Raw genomic sequence first — 19,230 nt, forward strand, 5'->3', positions numbered from 1 at the left:
TGGAGATTATATTAGACCCATAACATTCAGCATCTCATCCTTTTCTCTTTTGGAGAGCAATTAATATAAGACTGAGGTGATATGTTCCTCAATGGTATTGTTAAAACTTACCTGTGACACCTTCTGGTTCCAGTGCATTACTAGTGGCCAGATTTCAAGTGACTAATTAAATTTCCTTAACATTTAAAGTCTATTCACAATGAGGAAATAAACCTTACCTCATCAGTTGGCTTCCTTCAACACTACCATTTTTCTTCTTTCTTGTGAGTATGTGAGCCTTAGTTCAGGCTGCTATAACAAAAATATCATAGATTAGTTTAGAGAACACACATTCATTCCTCACAGTTCTGAAGGCTGGGAAGTCTAACGTCAAGGGGCTGGTGATTCCTGGTGAGGGCCCTCTGCTTGGTTTGCAGATGGCTGCCTTCTTCCTGTGCTCTCACATCGGGGAGAGAGAGAGCATCTCTCTCGTGACTTTTCTTCTCATTCCCATTCATGAGGGCCTAATTTCTTCCCAAAGGCCCCACATTATAATAGCATCACATTAAGGATTAGGCTTCAACCTCTGAATTTGGGAGGAGCACATTCAGCCCTTAGCAGAACCCCACCCCCAAGATTTTCCTAAGTGAATGAATAGTCATCCCCCAGCCTTGTTCCTGGCCTCTAACAGCATTTTAGAAGGAGGTTTCTCATGACTGGGGTTGGCTGAGATGGGAATTTCCTGATTCCATTGGCTGTGATTCAGCCCCATGCCATCCTGCCAGTAAGATGAACACATGAGTCATGCTCAGCTGCTAGGGTGCCTGGTGCTGCTTCCAGTTCCTCTGGGTGACCTCTGTCCAGCACATAAACCTCCTGAAGCATTCCGAATTTGCGGAAAGTGAGCCACCCTCCCAATGTGTACATGTCTGGGCCTACCTTCCTGCTCTCGTATGTGACAGGCACACAGCCTTTCCAGAAGGTACCTCATTGCCTAGTACAGAAATGCTGAGGTTCTCACAGGAGTGAGAACCCTACTGACTGGCTGTTGTGTCTCTCCCATACAGTCGGGTGTGGAGCAGTTGGACCCACATACCTATCTGCGCCCATCCTCAGTTGAAAGGTAGTGAACAGCTTGGGCTGTGGACTCAGGCAGGCCTCGGTTCAAATCCCAGCTCTGCCACTCAGGGGCTGTGTGTGCAGATAGGCTGCATCTATTGTCCAAAGCCAAACATGGGGAAAACCAAACAATCTCTCAAAGGGGTGTGGTGAGGGCTTAGGCAAAAGACTGGTGTACCGTGGCTCGGATGGATTAGTTTCCATTCTCCCTCTCTCTGTTTCCAGCTTTCCTCTCACTACAAGATGAGGGCCCTGTCCCTCTTGGGCGTTTGCCAAAGGAAGGTCTGGACACCCAGCAGCTCATTCATGTCGCTTCCCAGTTTGCTGTTACCATGTTGCAGTGCAGAAGCCATAAGCCGCATGATCCGTGAGCCTGGCCCTGCAACTTGGCTCCTCCACACAGCAGCGTTTGCCTTCATTGTCACAGATGACTATGAGAAGATGCCCTTGGTCATCTTTGGTCTGGGCTCTGGAGTTCTGTAGAGCTTTGAGCCGCCAGAGCTAAGGGGGTGAGGCTTGCCCCAGGCCGGTGGCACACCCAGGACTGGGCCTGGATGACTTTAATGGTAGGACAGAAGGAAGAGAAAGGAGCTCCCCAGAGTCCAGCTGCTGGGCTGTGCAGCCCATTTGCAGTGTACTTCCAGGAGCCTTGATGGTGAATGCTGTAAAAGGGGGAATCTTTCTTCCCCACCTTTCTTTAAATCATAGAGCTATTGTGATGGCTTCTGAGCTGCAATAGAATCACCCATGAGGATTTTTGTTTGTTGTCTTGGCATGAAGTTCCTGTCCCTTCACAGTAATCCGGCAGGTGCCTCCCAGGGCATGGAGTCATTGTGTCACATTCTTCTCCAGGACTGCAGGAGGGTGGGCACAGAGTTCCACAACTTGAAATGCAGCAGACAGTTGAAAGGATTCTGCTCACACCAGGAGTTGGATTGTATTTTTCCAAATGCATTAAGTATTTTAAGCAGCTTGAGCTGCTTAATGGGCCTGAAAGCATTTGATTAGTCCAAAGGGCTCTATGCCCGGCAGGTCAGGGGACAAGAAGTTCTTAAAATCCTATGGGTCTGACCCCTTCTGCTCTCTCTGGCTATCTGGCTACAACGGGTCCCCAGGGTTGCAGCAATAGCTGTGACCTGCTTATCTTCCCAGAAGTGCTGGAGGCAAGCTGATCCCTGAGCACTGTGCCTGGAGCACTGCAGGTGCCCTGCAGCCATCTCCATCCACACCCCCTGCCTGGCCTGCCCCGATTCCAGGCTGGGCCTCGGGCTCCCCTCCCTTCTTCGTCCCCCTCCTCATCTATCTGTGGCTCTTTCTCTCGGGCCCTACCACCAAGCCCTCTCCTTGCCATTCTCTTCTGTCCCTCAAGCCGTATTCCTCAGCATCACATGGTCCTCCCGGGTCCCGGTCCACTCCTGTCATGTGAGAACAAATGGTGTCTGCTGGAATTTGCTTCGGGCCTCTGTTGTGTTTTGAGCCAATGTGTGTGGTCCTCCTAACGTCATTTGATTCATCCGGCAAAAGGCTCTGCTGCCTGCCTGTCTGGGGCAGAGCTTCTAAGACCCTGTCAGTTTTGGACAATGAGGCTTCCCTGGGGGTGCAGAGTGGTGAAGCTGTTTGGAATCCTTCTCTTGAGGTGGAGTCCAGAGTTTCTTCCTGTCAGTTCCTCCCCATTTGTGTCAGCAGGGTGCTATGTCCAGCGCAGGTCCTCCCCTGGCCCCTTTCTGGCCTTGCAGAGTGCCCCCGGCCCCGTGTGAGCAGATGGCCTTCTGGGCGGAGCGTGCAGTCTCTTGGCAGGGCAGCCAAGTTGGGGGTGAGATGGACCTAGGGCTCTCTGACCCCGTAGGTTTGGCCTAGGCTGAGACTCTGAGCAGGTCACTTACCTCTGGGTCCTCATGCTCAGGTTCAAAATGAGACAGACAGTGGAGTTAAGAGATGATTTTTCTGATCCTTCTTTGGGTCTTTGCATCAGTTATTTTAAAAAAAGAGAAAAGCAAGCCAACACAACCATCCTCGGCTGATTGGTGGAGCAGGGCTTACTTATGTGGCTAGTTAAAAGAAAATTTATTTTTGAAAGCTGCATGGAGATTTTCCGTAAGCACAGTAATGTGAGCCGGGGTCAAAGCTGTCTTTCAGAGACAGGGAAGTGCAGAGATGTTCAATGTAAATTGTGCCTTTTAGCTAAACACTTGGTAGATTCAGCACTGGCCGTGTAGGTTTGTCCTGCTTGTTTTGGGGGAACCAGAAAAGATCTGATTGAATTTAATCTGATTTCTGCTAGAGTTTGGTCATGTAAGATTTGAAAAAGTGAACCTTCCTGAGCCAGAGCAATCAGGCAACAAAGAAATAAAAGGCATCCAAATAAGAAAAGAAGCCAAACTGTCTGTCTTCACTGATGTTATGATTCTATACATAGAAAACCCTAAAGACTTTGCCAAAAGGCTCCTGTAACTGATAAACAACTTCAATAAAGTTTCAAGATACAACATCAATGTAGAAAAGTCAGTAGCATTTCTCTACACCAATAATGTTCAAGCTGAGAGCCAAATCAGGAACACAATCCCATTTACAATCGCCACACACAAAAATACTTAGGACTACAGCGAACCAAGGAGGTGAAAGAAATCAGAGATGACACAAACAAATGGAAAAACATTCTATCCTCATGGATTGAAAGAATCAATATTGTTAAAATGACCATACTGCCCAAAGCAATTGACAGATTCAGTGCTCTTCCTATCAAACTGCCAAGGCCATTTTTCACAGAGCTAGAAAAAACTATTCCAAAATTAATATGGAACCAAAACAGAGCCAGATAGCCAAAGCAATCTGAGCAAAAAGAAAAGCCAGAGGCACCAATTACCAAACTTCAAACTATACTACGAGGCTGCAGTAACCAAAACAGCATGGGACTGATACAGAAGCAGACACACAGAGCAGTGGAACCGAGTAGAGAACCCAGAAATAAAGCCACACACCTACAACCATCTGCCCTTTGACAAAGCTGCCAAAAATAAGCCATGGGGAGAGGACTCCCTATTCAGTAAATGGTGCTGGGATAGCTGGCTAGCCTTATGCAGAAGAATGAAACTGGATCCCTACCTTTTACCATGTAAAAAATCAACTCAGTTGGATTAAAGATTCAACCTATGAGAATCCTAGAAGAAAACCTAGAGAAACATCATTCTGGATATTGGCCTTGGGAAAGAATTTATGACTAAGTCCTCAAAAGCAATTGCAACAAAAACAAAAATCAACAAGTGGAACCTAATTAACTAAAGAGCTTCTGCACAGCAAAAGAGTAAACAGACAACCTACAGAATGGGAGAAAATACAAACTATGCATCCAACAAAAGTCTAATATCACAACTCTACAAGGAGCTTAAACAATTGAACAAGCAAGAACCAAATAACCTCGTTAAAAATTGGGCAAAGGACATGAACAGACACTTCTCAAAAGAAAACAGGTAAGAAGCCAACAAGCATATGAAAAAATGCTCAACATCACTAATCATCAGAAGAATGCAAATCAGTACCACAGTGAGATACCATCTCACATCAGTCAGAATGGCTATTTTTCAAAAGCAAAAAAAATAACAGTTGCTGGCAAGGCTCTGAGGAAAAGGGAACTCTTACACACTATTGGTAGGAATGTAAATTATTCAGCCACCTTGGAAAGCAGTTTGGAGATTTCTCAAAGGACTTAAAACAGAACTACATTTGACCCAGCAATCCCATTCCTCAGTATATTTCCAAAAGAAAATAAATCACTCTACCAAAAAGACACATGCACTTGTATGTTCATCACTGTGGTATTCACAAGGGCAAAGACACATAATCAGTCTAGGTGCCCATCAGCAGTGGACTAGATAAAGAAATTATGGTACATATACACCATGGAATACTATGGAGCCATAAAAAAGAACAAAGTCATGTCCTTTACAGCAACATAGATGCAGCTGGAGGCCATTATCCTAAGCAAATTAACACAGAAACAGAAAACCGAATACCACATGTTCTCACTTATAAGTGGGAGTCAAACATTAGGTACTCATAAAGATGGCAACAGTAGACACCAAGGACTACTAGAGGGCAGAGGGTGACAGCGGGGCAAGGGTTGAAAACTAACTGTTGGGTACTGTGCTTGTTACCTGGATGACGGGATTAATCATACCCCAAAGCTTAGCATCACACAATATACCCAGGTAACAAACCTGCACGTGGACTCCCTGAATGTAAAATAAAGGTTGAAATTAGTCAAAAAATAAGGAAAAGTGGGCCTTCCCCGCCCCCCACACTTATAAAGAGTTAAGGATTTTGTGTTTATTTTAAGCCATGTTGAACTCAGCCCAACATATTGACACAAGGCAGGACTTAGTGCAGTGTCACTAGGCTTTAATTTTGTTGCCCTTTGGGCTAATAAAGTCAGGTTATCTCACTGGGCTGTTTCCTTATCCATTAAGACATTTGATGTAACTAAGTACCCATCCTATGGTGACATAAACTTTTTCTTATGTCATTGGAAAGTCCAGAATACCTGGTTGCAGGCAAGGTTTGATCTAGCAGCTTGACCTTGTTAGCACAGGTCCAGTTTCTTTCCCTCAGTCCTCCCTGGTATTTTATCAGCTTCATCCTAAGGCTGGTTCAGGGAAGATATTCTGATGATATATATTTCTGCTTTGGCAATGGAGGATTTATATTCGATTGTCAGAAGTCCTCATGTCCTATTTAAAGTCTAGTCATTGGAAAATAGGTTGATAAGGATGGACCTGAAGAAAATAAAGCAGCAATTTGTCATGACAAAGCAAGACTAGGAAGAGGCATTGGACCAGCATGACCAATTCAAGGACACGTTGATGATGTCTTCAGCGCAAGTGTTCTTCCCAAGCTTGGGGGACCTGGCAGGGCTGCCTACAGGGCTGGTGTCCAGCCTGCTCTATAGAAGGCGAATTAGAGATCGCAATAACGGGCCAGCTTCCATGATGACCCCAGGTTGTAGTGATGTCTATGTAGAAATGAAATAAATGCATAATTAAAACCAAAGGTAGGCTTGCATTTGGGTTGAGGTCCTGGCACCTACGGAGGCCACAAGTGTGTCAGGGTGGAAGGTAACTTGGTGAAATAGGAAGTCACTGCCTATTGCCCACTCATGTCCCCACTGATGGAGTTAGCTGGGGGATCCCCTGGTGCAGACCCTGGAGAGGCATCACTGTCTTCCTTGTTCAGTGGGCTTGGGTCACCTGCATGAATTCTGAGGTTGGGAAGGTGTAAACATTTCCCTCAACACCTGCAGCCCAGCCGCCGTCTCCCTGGGTGCTTCAGTCAGCCGTCACGTTGGGGAGGCGTCATGTAAGGTGGTCCTTGTCTGAGTAGAACCTGATTTTGAAAATGAAATTCATTTCCTTGCCTTCATTTTCCAGACGAAAAGATATGTATTTGTGGTGTGTGTGTGGCGGGAGAGTAATTGGCTTTGGTTTTGACAAGGAGGACACCAGAGTCCTGTTCTGATACTCAGTTTTGGGCCCATGCGTGACAATTCTGTGTTTCTTTTCAGCATTTGCCAATACATTATTTTCTAGAGTCTCTCCCAGCATACGGAAAAACCCCAAATTCAAATTTGACTTTTCTCTTCGAGGCTGGTTGTGGCATGCTGAAGCTCCCAAGGCATGTAATGTAGTGAACAAGGTGGCCTCCAGGAGCGCTGTCGGCTCATGGGCCCCACCCACCCACCTCGCGGTGTAGGAGGATCCACCAAGTCACTGTCAGAGTGGGTTGGAGAGACCTGGCCTGGGGTCAGCTCTGTGGGCAGATGGGCCCTTTCCCCCACTGGGTGGAGTACGCTCCTTAGTAGCCCAAGACAGAACATTGCCTTCTCCCGAGAAACCCACCTCTGGGGAAGGTTAGGCCATGGGATCTGCGGGAAGGGTTTTAGGAGTAGATTAATGGGATTTGTGATCCCAAGCACCCAGGCCACTCTGTGGTCCCCACCCCTGGGCTTGAGTCCTGCTGAGGTATAAGTGGTGCTAGAAGACCTCTGCCCTGCCCTGCCCTGCCCTGCCCCAGGAACCTGGCTTTCTCTGGGCTAATGAGTGTCCTCTCTGAAGGTATCCAGAGGCCGTGCAGACACTCACACTTTGGTGTGAGGCGTGCCCTCGGTTGATCAGTTACACTGCTGTGGGGTGCACAGGTGGCAAGGTGGGGGATTCTGGGATCGGGGAGGCTAGTCTGGGTGTAGGGTCCTGCCCTGGAGGGGCTCACAGTGGGGTTGAAAGCAAGCTCTCGAGGCGTTATTATTCGGGACTCTGAGTGCCGGGCCATGCTGGGGGAGTGAGGGCAGGGGGAGCTGCGGAGGCAGGGCTCTGAGGGCTTTAGAACAAGAGCCGGTGTGTGTTTCCCACTGAGTACCTGCCGGCACCTCATTTATGCCACGTAGCAACCCCATGACATAGGCTTATAGGGGACTATAATTATCCCCATTTCACAGCTGGGAGAACCTAGGCTTAGTGTCACAGAACCTAGGCTTAGCCACTGGGTGGCTGATACTGCCACCCAGTTCTGAGCCAGTATCAGCTTCCAGCCCCCTGACTCAGTCTCTCTGCTGTGGTTTCCTCTCAAGTGCCAGGATCCTTCCTGGTCCCGTTTCCAACTCAGACCAGTGGAGGGGCGCGCTGTGGTTACCACTCATTAGAAGAGAGGCAGGGTCTCTCTGTCTCTCTCTGGGTGTCCCCCACTGCCATCTCTGGGTGCTGGGGGAGCTGCTGTATATCTCTCTCTGTCTATCCCTATCTCTCCCTCCACTGCCATCTCTGGGGGTTGGGAGAGCTGCTCTGTCTCTCTATCTCTCTCCCCCCCCACCCCACTGCCATCTCTGGAGTTTGGGGGAGCTGCTCGCTCTCTCTCCCCCCTCCCACTGCCATCTCTGGAGGTTGGGGGAGCTGCTCTATCTCTCTCTCTCTCTCTCTCTCTCCCCCCACTGCCATCTCTGGGGGTTGGGGGGAGCTGCTCTCTCTCTCTCTCTCTCTCTCTCCCTCTCTCCCCCTCCGCCAACCACTGCCGTCTCTGGAGGTTGGGGGAGCTGCCTGGGATGCAGAGCGGCTTGGATTGGTGCTCCCTCTGCCTCAGTGGTTGAGCTGACCTCTGTCCAGTCTGTACACATTGGATCCTGAGGCTGAGCTTGGGTGGCTGTGGCAGGAAGGTTTGGTGACATCACACCCTTCAGGCTTGTGTCTGTCTGAGCCAGGCTCTGACTGGCTGGGAGAAGAGGAGGAGGTGGGGTTCTGGGAGGCCCTGAGGCTGAGCACGGCTGCTGTGCTCTGTGGCTGCACTGCAGGGGCACGGGCTCAGCATGTTCTGGGCCAGGGCACACAATGCTTTCAGATCAGGCTCCAGCACCCCACACGCCCCTTCATGCTTTGCACTTTTTGTCTACCAGCCAGAGGGCAGTGAATAATGAGAACAAACAACATCGGGTCCAGATTTTCGTGGTCATTTTCCTAACAAGCCGAGGTCAGAGAGCACTGAAAGGAGGCCTAAGTGCTTCTGCCACCTCAGCTGACTGTTTTTCAAAAAGGAAAGCATGCGTGGGATGTGTGTATTAGGTGTTACGGTGATGTCTGTTGTCAGATCATGGCCAGAAAAGGGGTTGTTTCAATTAAAATGGATTTTGGACTTCGTTTTTCTTGGAATGAGTAAATTGAGGGAAATAGCACATGTTGAGATTTTGGATTTCTGCTCTTAGAAAGGATTTAAAATAAGTGGTCTTCAGTAGTTCCACAGCGGATCTTCGAGACTGGTACAGATGGGGTCTCCTGGATGTAACGAGTTCTTGCTGCTTTAACTGGATCCGGTTGACTCTGTCTGACCAGCTCAGCTGGTTCGTTCTATGAAACGCACTTCTGCTTTCTGGAATCTGAAGGAAGGAGAGAGATAGAAGACAAAGAAGGACAGATGTGTTGGTGGCCAGACCCTGGCTTCTGAACAGTCCTTCCTGATGGCTTCAGGACCTGGGAGGAGCGGCGGAGCAGGTGGCTGCCCTGGGCTTGCCAGACACCTCCATTCCAGCAAGATCCTCCTGGGGGATGTGGTGCCCTCCCTGCCTCTCAGGCACAAGCATATGCTTGTTTGGCCTAAAAAAGTCTCCTTAATTAAAATTAATATCGTAATGCAGTAAATCCTTCTGCCTCCTCTTCCCCTGCCCAGTTACAATTCCCGGCGGCTCTCCAGCCCATAGAGGAGGCTTCTCAAAGTTTCCTGCCTCCTGGAGGAGAGAAGCCATTCCCCGATCACCCAAAAGGACAAAGTATGTGCCCACTCTGCGTCCTTGCTTGTCACTGCCCAACATCTGCAAACATTAACTAAAGTGCTGAGCCCATTCAGGTGTAGGACTCACTAGTTGGTTAATGTGACAGACAGCGTTTCCTGTGCCAGCGCTGGCTGGTCACTTCCTGTCATCCAGCACTCTTGAGTGTTGCAGTGGATGCCTGTTTCGTAGGAACACTCAGCCTGTTCCGTAAGAAGGAGCGCCACTTCTCAGCCTGTACTTAGCAGGTCACTACTGTTGGCCACTCTGCTTTTCTTTTTAAAATTTTAATTATTAAAAAAATTTTTTTTGAGAGTTTCCCTCTGTTGTCCAAGCTGAAGTGCAGTGGTATGATCTTGGCTCACTGTCACCTCTGCCTCCCTAGTAGCTGGGATTACAGGTGTGTGCCACCACGCCTGGCTAATTTTTGTATTTTTAGTAGAGACGGGGTTTCACCATGTTGGCCAGGCTGGTCTTGAACTCCTGACCTCAGGTGATCTGCCTGCCTTGGCCTCCCAGAGTGTTCGGATTACAGGCATGAGCTACTGCTCCTGGTCCCCTTCTTATTTTTATGTTAGTCTTTGGAAACAATTGGCATATATTTTAGTCTGTTTAGGTTACTGTAACAAAATACCATAAACTAGGTGGTTTACAAACAACAGACATTTATTTCTCACAGTTCTGGATGTGGGAAGTCTAAGATCAAGGCGCCAACAGATTTGCTGTCTGGTGAGGGCTTCCTGGTTCATAGAAGGCCATCTTCTCACTACATCCTCACTTGGTGGAAGGCTCAGGAGAGTTCTCTGGAGTCTCTTTTACAAAGGCACAAATCCCATTAATCACCTCCCAAAGGCCCACTGTCTAATAGCATCACTTTGGGCATTAGGTTTTAACATGTGAATTTGGAGAAGGGCAGGCACAAACATTCAGTCTGTAGCAGCATACAAAAATGTAACAAGAATAATGTGATGAACAGCTAGGTATCCACAAGCTGCTAAAGGTAGAGAATACTACCATATTGGTTACCTATTTCTGTGTAACATATTATGCCAACACTTAGTGGTATAAAACAGTAAACATTTATTATCTCACACATAGTCTGTGGGCCAGGAATATGGAAGCAGCTGAGCTGGGTGGTTCTAGTGGAGGGGAAAGATGTGAGCTGGGGCACCTGAAGGCTTGACTGGGGCAGGAGGATCCACGTCCAAGATCGACTTCACCTGGCTGTTGGCTGGCAAGAGGGCTCAGTTCTTTGCCATATAGACCTTTCCACAGAGCTGCTTGAGTGTCCTCACAACATGGCAGGCGGATTCCCCCAGCCTCAGTGATTCAAGAGAGAGTATAGAGAGAGTAGAGAGGAAGCCGCTGTGCCTTTTATGACCTGGTCTCATTAGTCATACACTGTCATTTCTGCTTATGTCTGTTCACTAGAAGCAAGTCACTAAATTCAGGCCACACTCAAAGAGAAAGGAATTAGGTTCCACTCTTTGAAGGGAGTGTCAAAGAATATGTGGAGAGAGATATATATATATATATATATATATTCTTTTTTTTTTTTTTTTGAGATGGAGTCTCACCACTCTGTCACCCAGGCTGGAGTGCAGTGATGTGATCTCAGCTCACCGCAACCTCCGCCTGCCAGGTTCAAGTGATTCTTCTGCCTCAGCCTCCCAAGTAGCTGGAATTTACAGGCACACACCACCACACCTGGCTAATTTGGGTATTTTTAATAAGGCAGGGTTTCACTATGTTGGCCAGGCTGGTCTCGAATTCCTGACCTCAAGTGGTCTGCCCGCCTCAGCCTCCCAAAGTGCTGGGATTACAGGCATGAGCCACCATGCCCAGCCTGTGGATGTATTTTAAAGCATCATAACACCATTGCAGCTAGAGCCCCTCCCCAGTTGCATCTTGTCTTTCACACAGAGGTAACTACTGTTGAAGTTTGATCCTTGTTTATGGCCTAGTACATGTATAAGTATTTCTATCCCTGTTAGTTCTGCATTTTGTCTGTAAGCGTTATGTAAATGATATCACCTTGTATTTTTTTCTGTAGTGTGCCTTTTTTTTTTTTTGAGATGGAGTCTTGCTCTGTTGCCCAGGCTGGAGTGCAGTGGCGTGATCTCGGCTCACGGCAAGCTCCACCTCCTGGGTTCAAGCGATTCTCCTACCTCAGCTTCCCGAGTAGCTGGGATTACAGGCGCCCGCCACTGCACACAGCTAATTTTTGTATTTTTGGTAGAGACGAGGTTTCGCCATGTTGGCCAGGCTGGTCTCGAACTCCTGGCCTCAAGTGATCCGCCTACCTTGGCCTCCCAAAATGCTAGGATTGCAGGCCTGAGCCACCGCGCCCATCCAGTGTGCCTTTTTTGCTTAACATTATGTTTGTGAGATTCATCCATGTGAAAACAGGTGGCTGTATTTCATGCATTTTCACTGCTGTGTGGTATTGCATTGTACAAACATAAGACTATTTGTCGTTCTCCATTGATGGATGCTTAGTTGGGTTCCTGTGACTTGCTGCTACAAACAAGGTTGTCTTGAGTACTCAGGTATGTGTCTCTCTGTGAACGTGAGCTGGATTTGTCAGTATATTTAGCAAGGATTGGAATTGCTATGGGAGAGAGTACAGTAATCTTCAAACGTACTAGAAACAGCTAAATTTTATTCCAAAGTGTGTGGGTGTCCTCATGAGTGGTCCCACTGACAGCGTATGAGTTTCCTCTTCTCCTTTTTCTTGACAGCACTTGGTGTTGTCAGACATTTTACATTTTTGTCTAATGCGTGAAAGTGCTGTCTACATGAGGTATTAATTTGCATTTCCCTGCGTGCCAGTGAGGCTAACATCTTTCCATGTATCTATTTTCACATATATATTTTTTCATATATTTGGTATTCTGTGAATGACTGGCCATATCTTTTGCACCTTTTTTTCTGTTTTCTTATTGATCAATCTGATCCGTTGTTGAGTTTATGTACCATAAATATCTTTTTTCTTTTCTTCCTTCTAACATAATGTAGAAGCTAAGAGTGTGGATTCTGGGGCCACATTGCCAGGGTTAAATCCCAGCTTCAACACTTCCTGTGTGGCCTTAGGCTTAGTCTGTGTATGCCTCAGTGTCCTCATCTGCAAAATGGGATGATGGCTCCCCACGGTGGGCCTGGGAGGATGCGCAGGTTCGTATCTGTGAATCAGTTAGTGCCTGTCATAGTAAGCACAAGATAGACTAATGCAACCTAGTGTGCTGGGCCCTGTGTGGCCACACGGGGCTGTATGCACAGGCGTCACCATGGCCAGAGCTGGAGCTCAGATGTGTCTGAGAAGATTGGCAGATGCTGCTTCACTCTGGCTCCCGGTCTCCTGGGTGGCCCTGCTTCCATCCCTGAGCTGCCTGAACGGAAAACGAAATCCCATCCCCGCTCCAGGGGGTGCCTGGGAATTGGAAGGCATCAGGCTCCTCACAGCAAAAATAGAAGCCTCATTTGCTTAGGAGAGAACAATGACGAGGAGGCAAGCCAGCAGAGGCGGCCTTGGCGGGCTGTGTACACCCTCTGCTTGTCTCCGCACTCCCTGGGGTCAGACGTAGACGTGGCTAAGCTGCCTGCAGACCTTCTCTTCCCCTTCATCCTGGCCTGCAGTGGGCATCAGGGTCCATCCTGGGACGTGGGCTGTCTTGGCACCAAGTTCCAGTTCTTAATACCTCAGTGTCACACTGTTCCCTGATTTCTCAAAGCCAGGAAGGAATTGCAGAAAACAAGGTCAGTTTAGTATCGAGAATCACTGGAGAGCCGTGTCAGAGCCCTGCTGAGAAGGGCGCGGGGAACTGTGTTCCTGTCTACCTGATGCTGTGGGCTGCACAAGGACGGACTTACTGAAGATTACAGGCCAGGGGGAAGAGGGCACGTTTAGTGTCAACCCTACACAGAAGAAGTTAGCTCCGCTGGGCGCGGTGGGCACTTTGGGAGGCTGAGGCGGGTGGATCACCTGAGGTCAGGAGTTCAAGACCAGCCTGGCCAACGTGGCGAAACTGCGTCTTTACTAAAAATACAAAAATTAACCTGTTGTGGTGGCATATGCCTGTAATCCCAGCTACTCGGGAGGCTGAGGCGGGAGAATTGCTTGAACCCGGGGTGGGAGAGGTTGCAGTGAGCTGCACTCCAGCCTGGGCAACGGAAACTCCGTCTTAAAAAAAAAAAAAAAAAAGAACAAGTCAGCTCAGCCCCACTGCAAGGAGCTCCTGGGTTTATTTAAGTGAGCCTCAGATAACTTTACATAAAAGCAAATGTGTAAAAAGCGATAAAGTCAGATATATTGAACATTTGTCCTGAGGGCAAATTTCTGAGCTCTAAAAGCCAGTTTGGTTTTAGATAACATCTGTGAGTCTGGAAACAGGCTGAGATACTCTATATCTGCACTCCCAACTCTGCCTTTGGCTTTGTGAGCCCTGTGGTCTCCTTGAAAGAATTGGTCCCCAGTGGGTGAACTAATCACCCATGAAGAGTCTCCCAATTCAAATCTGGAATAAAAAGTGAGGACATGGGGGCAGAATGTTACTCATCACATGTGGCCCGTCAGTACTAGACTTCAAGGTAAGTTTCCAAGAACAGAGCTCTGTGACCATTTTCATGATAGCAATTTGTACATTATTACTAAGTAATTTTAATGCCGTGTTTACAGGCCACCTTCCCAAACAAAACAATTGTTTCTGGAAGTTAGACTCTTGAAGACTTAACTTTTAATCCAGTTTGTTCTCAAAACATTTGCACAAATGAGAGTCTTGAGGTTTGAGCTTTCTATTCTAAAGGCTCAGCTTCTTGCCCAGGAGAAAAATAATACATGCTCGTGTTTATAAATAAGAGTTATGGCATTGGAGTCCTTTACATTGCAGCCAGCCTAGGGACTCAGTTATTCAGAATTTAAACATTTTACTTGTAAAGAGCACTTTGGTATCCACCCCAAGGGCCCTCCTCTGCCTGTCTCAGCACCATCTCTGTGTGTCCCATCAGGAAGCAACAGACAACTCCCTAAGCCCCACAGTAAAAACGTCTCTCCTGGTCTGGGGGCGCATCCATCCCCCATGTCCCCAGTCCCATCCTGGGTGTTCTGGGATTCCAGCCACAGCTGTGGGGACACCGCCATCTCACTGCATCCCTCTTGCTCTTGCGGCAGCTTGGCTGAGCTACAGGGCCGGGCCGCAGGAGGCGTCCTTGTGCCGGAGCTCACCTTGTGCCGGAGCTCACCTTGTGCCAGGTGTTGAGCTCTGCCAGCTGCCCGGCCCCACTGTGAGGCCGCCCCTTGCAGGTGAGTTCACTGGCAGCCCAGCCAGCCCACGAAGGCCATGTGAGTGTGAACCCCCATTACAAGCTTTCCCTCATGAGATGGCGCTGATCAGTCTGGGGGATACCTGCCTTTCAGTATGGGCTGCAGCCATTAGGCTGGTACCAGGAGGAGCCAGGTCGAGCTGGCACTGGGGCGACGCTCTGTCTTTGATGCACCCTGATGCCTCCCCCATCCTGCTGACCATGGTGCTCAGCACAGACCCCTTCCAACCCATCCCAGGGCCTCTGCTCAGTGTGGCCAGAGCCTCCTGTCAACAAGTATGTCACTGCCTTCGGGTTATTATTGTTCACCAGATTCCACTTGCTCTACAACCCAGGCACAGTGCACCAGAGTTTCCCAAACCTGTGTGCCGAGTGCCAGCCCCTTAGCAAGTGCAGCGTTGCCCATTTCACTCTGGGAAATGCAGCCATAGCTCTGGGGCCAGCTAGAGGAAGGAGTGTGATTGTGCCTTCCCGGGACAGCTTCCAGGTCTGGGAGTCTGTGATGTTGTGAGTGTTGCCTTAGCTTTGCTAAGAAAATGCTTAGGGAGATGGGTTCCTTCACCCATTCTTCCACTCATGTGCCTTTCTGGCTCCAGGGCTGGTGTCCCCTGCTTTGGAGGGGACGCTCACATGAGCTGCCCTATTGGGGTTCCGTCAAGTTTCTCTTAGCCTAAGCGGCTTCCTGTCTCGGGCTCCCTCCCCAGCCATTTGGGTCACCTTGGGTCCCTGAGGATCGCTTCTGGATCTTGGACCCCCTCACCAACTCCTGTGACATAATAATCAAAGGTAATCAGGAAATGTATGAATCGTCTTCTTTAAGGAATATTTAGCATTTCTGCTCATTCCAGAGTCCCTGGAAGCATGGCATTTCAAAGGCTTGGTTAGATCACAAGTCCAATTTACTGCCAGAAATTTGCACGTAGAATAATACAGAGCCTATGATGGCAGTTGAAGTGGTATCCTGTGAGAAAATTAATTAGTCCTGAAACTAAATGCCGACAGCCTCAGCAAAATATTCATGAGAGAAGCAAACCTCGTGCGTGGTGTTTGAAGTCAGGCAGCTGAGGCTGTGTACTGGACGTGTTCTCTGTGGCTGAGTTCTGCTGTGGATTCTGGGCTAGTCTAGGCAAGGCCTGCCTCTCCTTCTGGACTGGCTCCCAGGGCTGGGGGCTCAGGAAGGCCCTGCACCCTGGAGAAGAAGGGAGCCCCTGAGACTCTTTGGCCTTGTATTTGTGTGTCCCTCTGGGCTGCAGGGCTGCAGAATAAACCAGCTCCCAATCCTCCAAACAAAAATAAAGACCTGTGAATGGCTACACTTGGAGAGCAGAGTGTTTTGATATCATGGGGAGACCTGTGTACTTAATTTACGGCCTGAAGATTGAGAAGGATTTAATTGTTCCAAAAATGGTGAGAAAAGAGCAGGTCCCAGCCTTTCTGTCTGATCACAAACAGCCGAGGGGGACTGGGGAAGTGGCCTGGTCCTCACTGCCCCTGGAGGGGCAGGAAGAGGATGGAGTGATGTGCTTGGCAGATGCAGGAATGGCCAGGCAGTGGGAAAAGCCTAGGGTTTCCAAGCCATGTCTGATCCTCTGTGTTCCTTCTGCCTGCTGGGATGGAGCCCGCCCCCCAAATATGCCTGGCTCACTTACGACTCAGAGTCAGCTGCCCCCAGGGACTTCCCGGCTCTCGTGACCTTGCTGGGCATGACTTTCAGGGGAGCCCTCTGTCCAGGAGACATAGGTCACTCGAATCACACAGCCGTGCTTTAGTGAATGCTAGCCAGGGGCCCTGGAGAGGGCAAGGACAGGACACTCCTGCATGGAAACGAAAATGAATATTTTTCTCTGCAGAAAATGAAAAGTGGTGCTGGGTCCAAGTGGTAGGTGACCTGGCTTTTGAGCGAAAATGCTGCTGGGAAATGAGAGAAAAGAAACATGAAAAGAATGCAAATGAGGGTGGTGGACAGGGGCCCAGAGGCCTGATTCCTCCACCCTCCGCAAAGGCTGGGTGTGTGATGCCTATAAATAGACACTCAAAACCCGTTCTAAATGGAGTGAAGACATGGGCCTGCTTCCTCTTATGGAAAGGCCTTACATAAGGTGCAGTGCTGCTATTGCTCCTGGGCGGTGTGATGATTCTGTGCCTTTGTCGGAAGTCAGTGTGAAGCCTGTGGGGCTTCTGGGGGATGCACATGGATGAGCTCTGGGCTTTCTGGAGACTCGCAGACTCTGGGAAGGAGGCGGTGGGCGATGGGCAGGTCTCCTAGGGCTGGGAAACAGTCCTGAGACAGGCTCCGGGTTTCCTGAGGCGCTTCTGGGCCAGGAGCAAGTGGGAAAAGCTGGACTGCAGGGCTTGGTCAAGTGACAGCTGCCCAGAGCCGGAGTTTAGGGTGCCTGGAGAGGACAGGGGCTGGCAGGCCTGACTTTCTCACTGATCCACTTGGGGTCACAGAGCCAACCTGTAACAGAGTGAGGAACTGAGGCCGCATTGCTGGACTCCCAGTGGAGGATTCTTGCTGCTGGACTAACCTTTAGTTCATGAACTCACCCAGAAATTACTTATTTTTGGAGGACCGCAGATGGCGAGCTTAGGAGTGAAGAAGGGAATACTATTTGATGCTAATGTGATTCCAGGCAACATTCTAGAGGTTCCCTTGCAATTCACCTTCCCAGCCACCTTTGAAGTAGTTATTGGCCAGTTTTATACACGATGAAACTGACAGAGATGGTGTGAAGGGATTTTCTGACGTTCACACAGGAAGCAAGCAGCCCATGCTGACTCCACTGCGGAAAGCGTGTGTGTGATTGACATGCTTTTTGTGTGGTGCTCACTTTGGGTGTGATAAAGAGGCCTCCTTGCAAAGGGCCAGGATCTGTGAAGCACCATGTTGCTTCACAGAACAGGCCGTGAAAAGCCACAGAAGCACCATAGCCTGGGAAAGAAATGGAACAACGGTGCAAACAGCCAGTTTCCCCTGAGCAGAGGCAAGCAGGTTACGGCTCTGCAGCTCCCTTAACGGGTAGCTTGTTCAACATGGAAACATCTTTAGCCTCCTCAGAGACGTTGGGTCATCTCCTTTACATGGGGACCAGAAGTATCTTCCCTGGGCCATTTTGGGTGGAGGAAATTTCGTAATTATAACCCTCTGCTAGGGGTGTCTACCTAGGAAGTGAGAGCAACTGGCCGCTTTCTTAGAGAAGTGAAGACGCTGAGTAGACTAAACCTTTGTGATGAAGTCGAAGCCACTGTGTTGCCTGTGTCCTGTTTCCTTCCCCAGTGAATGGGGCTCTTCCCTACGACTGCAGACCCCAGGACCAGATTGCAGGTGCCCTGTCCAGCAGCGCAGCCATTCGTGAAGGGCTCGCAGCCTGGCCCGGCTCAACAGCTGATGCCCCCGGGAGGAGGCTGTATTACTATCCTTTTTGAAAGGAACACAGAAAGCCCTTTGTAACTTTGTCTGTAGCCAACATGGAGGGAGAGGCAGAATTCAGATGTGATGTTGCAGACAATTGAACACCCCTCCTCCTGTTCCACCCCAGCTTCCTGCCCGTAGCCTTCTAATGCCCTTGCCCTGAATTCCTGATCCAACCCAAGGGCCTGGCCTTGAAACCCCCGAGCCTGCTGGCAGTAGCTTCCTCTTCAGCCTTCCTGTGCAGAGCTTCCTCTATTCAGGGAAGTCTGAGACCTGGTGGCCTCTTTCTCATTCTTTTCATGAAACCATCTTGCCCAGGAGAAGGTGGGCTGAGACCCTGGGCATTGGAAAGGAGAGGTGGTCCTCCTTCCTCTCTTCACTTTCATCGCAGTCCTCTCCCCGCCCACCCCCATATGCACACCCTCCGCAGTCTGAAAGTGTCGTGAAGCACCAGCTCTGCAAACCCGTGGGGTCAAGCTTTGTTGTGGGAAAATACATATTCATGAGGGCTTTGAGGAGCCTCATTAAAATGCAGAGAGTCTCTCCTTTCAGAATGGTACATAAGCCATCTCTTTATTTGCCCAACACATTGTTCTTAAGGCAATAATTATGCGATGAATGGCTAAAGAAACATTTTAATTATTTGTTTAGGGTAATTTCTGATTATCTCATTAGAATTATAATCTGTCCACTTTTACAGGTGATTCAAAGCCTCATATTTACATTTTTATACTTGAAGGAGCTCTATGTGCGCACCTGTATCATTGCTGAAGTGAAAGTAATTTTCTCTGTTTTCTTCTGCTTTATTCCAGAAAGATTTGATCACCAGGAGATTTTTCGGGACATTACCAAACCACTCATTTTAGGTAAGAAATACAAGGCAGCGTTGCATGGAATGAGGTTTTGCTTTTGCCATGTGGGGAGCGGACCGTTTCACTGGAGGGAAAATGCTACATTGCAGGCAGAGCTGGCAACTGCCGTGGCTCTTTGTTTTCTGGGATCCTGTGTGTGTGAGCTTGGGGAGTTTGAAGCTGGGGTTTGAGTCACAGCCAAGGAGTGGATGGACACTGGGGACGCTTCTGGCACTTACCTTGCCCGGAAC

At 48.9% G+C, this 19,230-nt stretch overlaps 1 protein-coding gene across 36 annotated transcripts in view, besides 2 other annotated features; it reads left to right on the forward strand.

The window, feature by feature from the left end:
* The window catches only part of APBA2 (amyloid beta precursor protein binding family A member 2), a 232,342-nt gene that overhangs the window by 90,839 nt on the left and 122,273 nt on the right, over positions 1–19,230 (forward strand). For 25 of the 36 annotated variants that reach the window (NM_001379685.1, NM_001353790.2, XM_047432424.1 and 22 more), the window contains one exon: positions 18,941–18,994. The gene's annotated coding sequence lies outside the window, so the exon portion shown is untranslated. Of the gene's footprint in view, positions 1–13,605; positions 13,985–18,714; positions 18,829–18,940; positions 18,995–19,230 lie in introns of those variants that run through there. The other 11 variants (XM_047432409.1, XM_047432420.1, XM_047432411.1 and 8 more) reach the window with 3 other exon arrangements.
* Positions 14,102–14,603: an enhancer, noted in NCBI's record as "H3K4me1 hESC enhancer chr15:29283117-29283618 (GRCh37/hg19 assembly coordinates)". NCBI's record gives its function as "activates a minimal SCP1, AML or CMV promoter by ChIP-STARR-seq in primed H9 embryonic stem cells {active_cell/tissue: H9 hESC(primed)}" and the evidence as "EXISTENCE:reporter gene assay evidence [ECO:0000049][PMID:30033119]".
* Positions 14,604–15,103: an enhancer, noted in NCBI's record as "H3K4me1 hESC enhancer chr15:29283619-29284118 (GRCh37/hg19 assembly coordinates)". NCBI's record gives its function as "activates a minimal SCP1, AML or CMV promoter by ChIP-STARR-seq in primed H9 embryonic stem cells {active_cell/tissue: H9 hESC(primed)}" and the evidence as "EXISTENCE:reporter gene assay evidence [ECO:0000049][PMID:30033119]".

The sequence above is a fragment of the Homo sapiens genome, chromosome 15 (assembly GCF_000001405.40).
Source record: "Homo sapiens chromosome 15, GRCh38.p14 Primary Assembly".
NCBI lineage: Eukaryota > Metazoa > Chordata > Mammalia > Primates > Hominidae > Homo > Homo sapiens.